Raw genomic sequence first — 7,554 nt, 5'->3', positions numbered from 1 at the left:
ATTGCTAAAAATAAGAGCGATTAGGAAGAATAAAAAGTTATTCCTATGATTCTTCAGGGACCATAAGAAAGGCTACATTTTTTTTTTTAATGGAACATAGACCAGAAGCTCGGATTCCTAAGCTGAAATTTAATTGGTGCAATATTGAAGTTTAAAGAGTAATAAAGTTTTTTGTCCTCGGGTTACAAGGAGAAAATTATCCATAACACTGTTTGGATTATAATACCTTGGCTGCTACCTTGGTCTATCTTTGTCCTGAGATTGTTATTATTATTACCGTTCTGACGGTTTTCCCCATTTCACTCCTTCCCCTCCAAGTTTTGTAAGTGGAGCTGAGCTTCCAGGGAACTTTTCAAGATGGCTGGGACATTATGCAATCAAAACGGATCTGGGACAAAGGAATGGTATGAGTAAGTGCAGGTCGGGTCTTTTCAGCAGTGCCAAATGTCATCTTCTTGAGAGATGAGATAAATGACCAAACAAAAGGAAGGAGATATTACTCTCGTGTAATAGCTCACTTATTTCCACCTTCTAATTGAAGAGTTGGCTGGAGCTCAAAACATGGCTCTGACCAACTTTAGCCCTTAAGATGCCTGCATCGCCACCAGAGGGAAAAGTAATCAATCACGAATTAGCCTTTTATTAGTGAAGGTTGAGACTGTCATTGAAAGAAAGGGGGAAAAAAAACACTATAAAAACAGTTTATGTCACAATCATTCAAAGATCTTCAGATCTTAGAAACCTACACTATGACCAAAATTAGAAACCAGACTTTGTTTGGAAAACATGAGACCTGCACTCCTCGCCCCCAAGTGTTCATGGACTTGGCATCAGCTAATTGCTCTACAGCAAGCGCCTGGGTGGCTGTTTTCGCAGGGTTGTGACAGTGGAGACTTAAGTCTGGGGCTTTTTCAGGGCTCACTTCATCTGCAGAAGTATCAGGATATAGGATTGCTGGATGGAGTATAAATACAGGATGCTCAGTTACATTGAATTTGGGATCCACAACAAATAATCTTTTAGTATGTCCCATACAACTTTGGGAGGCTGAGGTGGGAGGACCGCTTGAGCCCAGAAGTTTGAAACCAGCCTGGGCAACATAGGGAGACCCCCATCTCTACTAAAAAGTAAATTAAAAATTAGCTGGGCATGGTGTCATGTGTCTGTAGTCTCAGCTACTTGGGAGACTGGGGTGAGAGGATCTCGGGATCCCGGGTGCTGGAGTGAGCCATGATCGCACCACTGCACTCCAGCCTGGGCAACAGAGTGAGAGCCTGTCACTATCAAAAAACACAACAAACCAAACAAAAACTTACAACATATGTCTACCTAAGCATTATTTCTTGTTTATCTGAAATTCAAATTTTACTGGACATTCTGTATTTTATCTAGAGGCCCCAGGCCAGAGGCAAGCTGCACTTTAGCCTACCTTGTCTTTCCTGCATTTCCTCTTGGGGTCCTTCCTATCTGGGCCCCTGAAGACCCACAGAAGACTCAGGCTGTCTGGGGTCTCAGGCAGGAAGGAGCTGTTAATATGAGCAGGAGCAGCTGGGCATGGTGGCATGCAGCCCTAACTACTCAGAGGGCTGAGGCAGGAGGCTCAGTCTTGCAGTCCTGGCTACTCAGAAGGCTGAGACAGGAAGACTGCTTGAACTGAGGAGTTCAAGTCCAGCCTGGACAACATAGCAAAATCCCAGCTCTAAAGGAAAAAAAAATGAGCAGAAGGGATGAGAACAAGACCTATTTCCAAGGGTACAACCTACAGTCCTGAGGCAGAACTTTCCAGAGAGCCCCTCCATGTTTAGATGCAGAAGAGGAGCAGAGAGTTCTTGGGATCCCCTGTCTGGAGTCCCAAGATAGATGCTGCATGCTGGGCTCAGGGCTGTGACACTTTTTATTTTTCTCTCATTATTAGGCACCTGCCACCAGGTGAGGAATGGTGCTCTCAAAAAGCCCAGATGAGAGATTCTCAAACTTAAAGGTACATAAGCATCATCAGGAAAACTTGCCATCATCAGGACAGAGGCCCTGGCCCCATCCCCTGTAATCTCTGATTCAGTAGGTCTCAGGTGCACCCTGTAATCTGGATTTCTAACAATCACCACACTCCCACCTATCCTCCACCCCCTACACGTCAGGGGATCCTGATCTAGGTAGATTCTCTGAGAAACACTGACCTGGGTTTGAGGCTTTCCCCAAACTCAGATGGAGGAAAGCATCCTTTTTAAAATACAATATTAAAAACATTTTCTCCAAAGATAATATCATTCATGAATCTGGCATTTCACAATTTGATTACAGATAAATGTTATTTTAACAATATGATGTAAAAATCACAGTAAACAGTAATTTTTCTACAAATGGATCATTCCTACAGAAATCAATTTTCTTGTCTCAGCCTATATTTTTGTTTCTTAAACAATATAATTTTCTCCATGATGAGGACTAAAGTTGAATTATTTATAATAGTTTAAAGACAGGCATATATGTTACTTCTGTGCTTGTTAGATAAATGTAATTACAAAGTTTTAGAATAATAAAAATGAAAATTATAAGATGAAAATAATTGCAGAATTTTAGATTTATAACATAAAAAGAAAGGCGTTGACTTATGAAAATGCAAGTTTGACTTGAAAGGGCATTTTGCAAATTAAGAATTAAGAAAATTCTCCCTGTTAAGTAAATAAGAGACGGCATTCTTGTACATATGTGATAATATAAAAATAATGCAACTATATTATTAAATTCATATGTAATATCATTAGACAAACCACTACTAGATACTAATAAAACAAGCTCTTCTCATCAATGTATGTATGTCATAATACGAGGAGGAATTTTGCCCTTACTGTTTTGAAAGCTCCATATGACTTAGACATTCAGTGTCAGAACAATACAGGATTTTCCCACAGGCTTTACACAATGGCCTAGCTAGGAAAACTTTTATTTATATTTTAAAGGTATATAGAAAGTTCTTGGGCTATTTTGAATACAGCACTTAGATAACACTAGAAAACATCATCGAAAGAAAATAAATTAAAATTGTACTATGTGGTGTTATGAGTTGGTCGAATTGCAGCCTCCAAAAAGATACGTTGAAGTTCTAACCCCTGCTACTTGTGACTCCAGCTTTATTCAGAAATAGGGTCTTTGCATATGTAACCAAGTTATGATGACTTCCTGAGGGTGGTCCCTAATCCAATATGACTGGCGTCCTTAAGAGAAGAGGGGAATTTGGACACAAACTCACACTCAGAGGAGACACAGTGGGAAGATGAAGGAAGAGATCAGAGTGATGCTGCCAGGGGCCACCAGAACGGGGAAGAGCCAAGAAAAGATCCTCCCGAAGGGCCTTTGGAGAGAGAAAGACCCTTCCAACACCTTGGTTTCGGACTTCTAGCCTCCAGATCAGTGGAAGATCATGTTTCTGTTGTTTTAAGCCACCCGGTTTGTGGTGCTGTGTAGGGCAGCACTGGGAAACTCATGTATGTGGATTTTGTCACAAGTCCGCTGAAAAGGCTTCATTTTCTTTTTTCAAAACAATAAAGCGAAATGTTAAAAAAATTAAGTCCTCCAGGGACAGTGGCTCATGTGTATAATCCCAGAACTTTGGAAACCCGAGGTGGAAGAATTGCTCAAGGCCAGGAGTTCGAGACCAGCCTGAGAAACATAGCAAGACCCTTGTCTCAACAAAAAATTTAAAAATTAGCCCAGCGTGGTATTGCATCCCCGCAGTCCCAGCTACTCAGGAGGCTGAGGCAGGAAAATCCCTTGAGCCCAGGAGTTTGAGGCTGCAGTAAGCTGTGATCACGCCACTGCACTCCAGCCTGGGTGACAGAGTGAGATTTTGTTTGTAAAAAATGAAAGAAAGAAAATGAAGAAAAGGGAAGGAGGGAAGGAAGGAAGGAAGGAAGGAAGAGAGGGAGGGAGGGAGGGAGGGATGGAGAGAGGGGGAGACAGAGAGAGAAAGAGAGAGAGAGAGAAAGAGAGAGAGAAAGAGAGAAAGAAAAAGTTGGAGTGAAATCCATCAAGAACCTGTTAGAAAATGACAGCTTCTTGGGTCAGCCCCAGTTCACTCTTACAAATGGACCTCCAGCTGCCCAGTGGATTAGTTCTTCCACATCTGTCTGAATGCTGCTTTTTATGTTCCTTGGCATGTCTCTTTGTCTCTAAGTACCCCTCAATCTGCCTCCCTTTGCCAAGGAACTACACTTCTAATGTCCCCCTCAATCCTGGAGGGGCTGACAAGGGTGCATTTGGCTGTCCTCTGGAGCACTGTACCCAAACACACTCCCTGCTGTGAAGCAGCGTCACCCAGCACTGATAACCAGCTTGTTTGCATCCAATGAGACAGAACACCCCTGCACAACGACCTACAGGAAGAGTGTTTATTCCTGGCAGATAGGCAGCAAGGGACAACAGATGTCTAGGATTCATCGGAAGCTGGTCCCACACAAGGCTCAGGTAAGCTGCCAGGGCAGATGGAGTCTTATCTGCATGTGCCCTACTTGCAGCACAACTGAGGGGCCCAGGAAAGCCATCTGCCCTGGTTTTACACCGTGGAGAATGTGACTCACTGAGCTCAACTATTGAAGGACATCCCATTCTTGCGGGGACTGGAACAGGGCCTGGCCAGCTCCCCCTTACCTCAAGATGGTGCATGCCTAGCTCGTTCCACAGTTATTCTTTTTTTTTTTTTTTATTTGAGACAGAGTCTCACTGTGTCACCCAGGCTGGAGTGCAGTGGCACGATTTCGTCTCTCAGCAACCTCTGTCTCTCAGGTTCAAGCAATTCTCCTGCCTCAACCTCCCGAGTAGCTGGGACTACAGGCGCCCGCCACCACACCAGCTGATTTTTGTATTTTTAGTAGAGATGGGTTTTCACCATGTTGGCCAGGCTGGTCTCAAACTTCCAAAGTTTGAGATTACAGGTGTTAGCCACTGTGCCTGGCCTCCACAGTTATTCTTGACAACTACAAGCAAGAAATGGAGAAGTGGCTCAGTCCAAGGCCACCCAGAGAACAGCCCCGCACCTGCCTCTCTCCAAAGACCCTTGATCATGCTTTTCTCACTCAAAGCTTTCAACTGCTCTCTCTAACCCAGCTCCAGGCTAATTCCCTTCTTGCCCAGTATTTCTCAAAACAGCGAGACCTTTATTTTATGAACGTCTCGGCCTGCCTGTATAATGCCACACTAACTACTGCTTATAGGACAGTTGTACAGAAAAGATGAGGCAGGCAAAGCAGCTGGCCCCGAGCCTGTGCATAGCAGGTACTCAACAAAGGCAGTCATAGGTGTCTTCACATCACACAGGTGGAAGGCCTGCTCAGCCTGAGCCTTAGAAACTGAAAGCCAGACAGAAGGGAATGGGATTCTCTTTATCTGGCAACACTAGGACAGATATCAAAAAGGCAACATGCTTCTTAACTGCCTTTTATTTTTGAAGTCCCCATTTCAGATACTTTCAAAGTCACTCAGTCAGAAATTATTGCAAGCCTGACTTGTGTGGGCCAGTGCTCCAGCTCCTGAGGGAGAGACATGGAAACCAGGCCCCTGACAAAACCTGCAGGAAACATGGGCCTTCAAGAATAGACTTATGAGAGGATTCGTTTGAACACTGTCAGGTAGGGTCAATCTTTTTAGGCTTCCTGGAGGAGGTGCCTGAGGTAAGTCTCAGGGCCTGAGAGTTCATTGTCAGTGTGAAGACTGAGCTCTCCTGGATCCTCCCAAGCATTTATGGAATGAAGTTCACTTGCATTCCGTACAGAAAGCAAATTATTTGTGAGGTCCCAGGATGGGAGAGGGGGATTTTGATAACCAAGATTTAGCCTTAAATATCTCTTCACTTCCTACAGGGAAGCCTTGCCTAACTCCAACCTCCTGACCCCAACTAGTCAGAAGCCCTGAATTTACGCCCCCATGGCACCCTTCCTTCTCCTCATGGAGCTCATCAGAAATGTGATTGATCATCTGTGTGGTCCTTGCCTCAATGTCTGTTCTCCCCGACGGAGTGAGATGACTACAAGGTACAGATATTCCTGACTCCCATCTCCCTGTTCTAGCTGATCCTGGTACAGTGACTCACACAGGATAGATTCTTAAAAAAATGTTTGCTAAGTCGATAAAATCCTCCAAGGTCTTTCTTCTTTTTTAACTTTCATTTTAGGTTTGGAGGTACATGTGAAGGTTTGTTATATAGGTAAACTCATGTCACAGGGCTTGTTGTACAGATTATTTCATCATCCAAGTATTAAGCCTGGTACCCAATAGTTATTTTTTTCTGCTCCTCTCCCTCCTCCCTCACTCCACCCTCAAGTATACCCGAGTGTCTGTTGTTCCCTTCTTTCTGTTCATGAGTTCTCATCATTTAGCTCCCACGTGTAAGTGAGAACATGCTGTATTCGGTTTTCTGTTCCTGTGTTAGTTTGCTAAGAATAATGACCTCCAACTTCATCCATGTTCCCACAAAAGACATGAACTTGTTCTTTTTATGGCTGCATAGTATTCCGTGGTGTATATGTACCACATTTTCTTTATCCAGTCTGCCACTGATGAGCATTTAGGTTGATTCCATGTCTTTGCCATTGAGAACGGTGCTGCAGTGAACGTTTGCGTGCGAAGTGCGGTCACTTAACCAGCAGCATGGATGCCATCTGGAGCTCGTAAGACATGTGTCATCTCAGGTCCCACCCAGAGCTGCTGAATCAGAGCTGGGATTTTAACAAGCTTCCGGGTGATTCACGCACATTGACATTTGAAGAAGTCCCAAGGCCCAAAGACACATCTGAAACTTAGAGAGGGGTGGGGAAATAGCAGTGGAAAGGTAAGAGTTGGATGGAACTACAGACCTTTAGCAGTCTGCCCAAATGCCCTCCACTGACTCTCCTTCCATCCCTCATCCTTCGTTTCTTTGGATCTTAAGCACCTCCTCCAGGAAGCCCTCCCCAAGTCCCACTGGATTGAGTTAGAGGTCTCACCGGCATGCACCCTCCACACTACAGTTTTATTTTAAATTCCACCCTCCCCCCACCCACCCCCAACCTCCGCCTTGGTGATCTATCTCCCCCAGAGGCTTTGGAGCAAAGGACAGAAATTTGTTTTGAAAACTTCGTGTCCCTAGTGGCTAAAAGAGTCACTGGAAGCAGGTAGGTGCTCAGTAAATAATTACTGAGTGACCAATTGACCCTTAAACTTCAGTCTTCTGACTACAGCCACGCCCTTTCCACCTCCCCTGCGGGCGTCTCAAGCCGAGGACAGGCTGGGGTCCTACCCACCGGCACTTCATCTGTGCAGGGATACTCAGAGGAGGCACGTGGGTTTATTTAAAAGCGGATGTTCCCGAAGGGAGAGGTGGTATTTCTTGGTGTTGAGTGAAGTATGAAGAAAAGGAAAGGGTGCATGGCTACGTGGCGAGAAGCTATGAAGTTCAACTGTAAGACATCTGTTTACCCAGGAAGGGTAAACAGAGCTCTGAAAGAAAACACTGAAAATCACTCCGCCGTGGAATGGGCTTTCCTGCCAGGTGCAGGCCACTCAAGCAGCTGCAGAAGAATC

General features: G+C 44.6%; 1 annotated feature.

The window, feature by feature from the left end:
- Nucleotides 6,071-7,270: an enhancer, noted in NCBI's record as "P300/CBP strongly-dependent group 1 enhancer chr14:97573059-97574258 (GRCh37/hg19 assembly coordinates)". NCBI's record gives its function as "activates an origin of replication core promoter dependent on BRD2, BRD4, P300/CBP, MED14 and CDK7 cofactors, with strong dependence on P300/CBP, by STARR-seq in HCT116 cells {active_cell/tissue: HCT116}" and the evidence as "EXISTENCE:reporter gene assay evidence [ECO:0000049][PMID:35650434]".

The sequence above is a fragment of the Homo sapiens genome, chromosome 14 (assembly GCF_000001405.40).
Source record: "Homo sapiens chromosome 14, GRCh38.p14 Primary Assembly".
In the NCBI taxonomy this organism is placed as follows: domain Eukaryota; kingdom Metazoa; phylum Chordata; class Mammalia; order Primates; family Hominidae; genus Homo; species Homo sapiens.
Note: the sequence above shows the minus strand (reverse complement) of the source record. Positions and strands in the feature narration are given on the sequence as shown.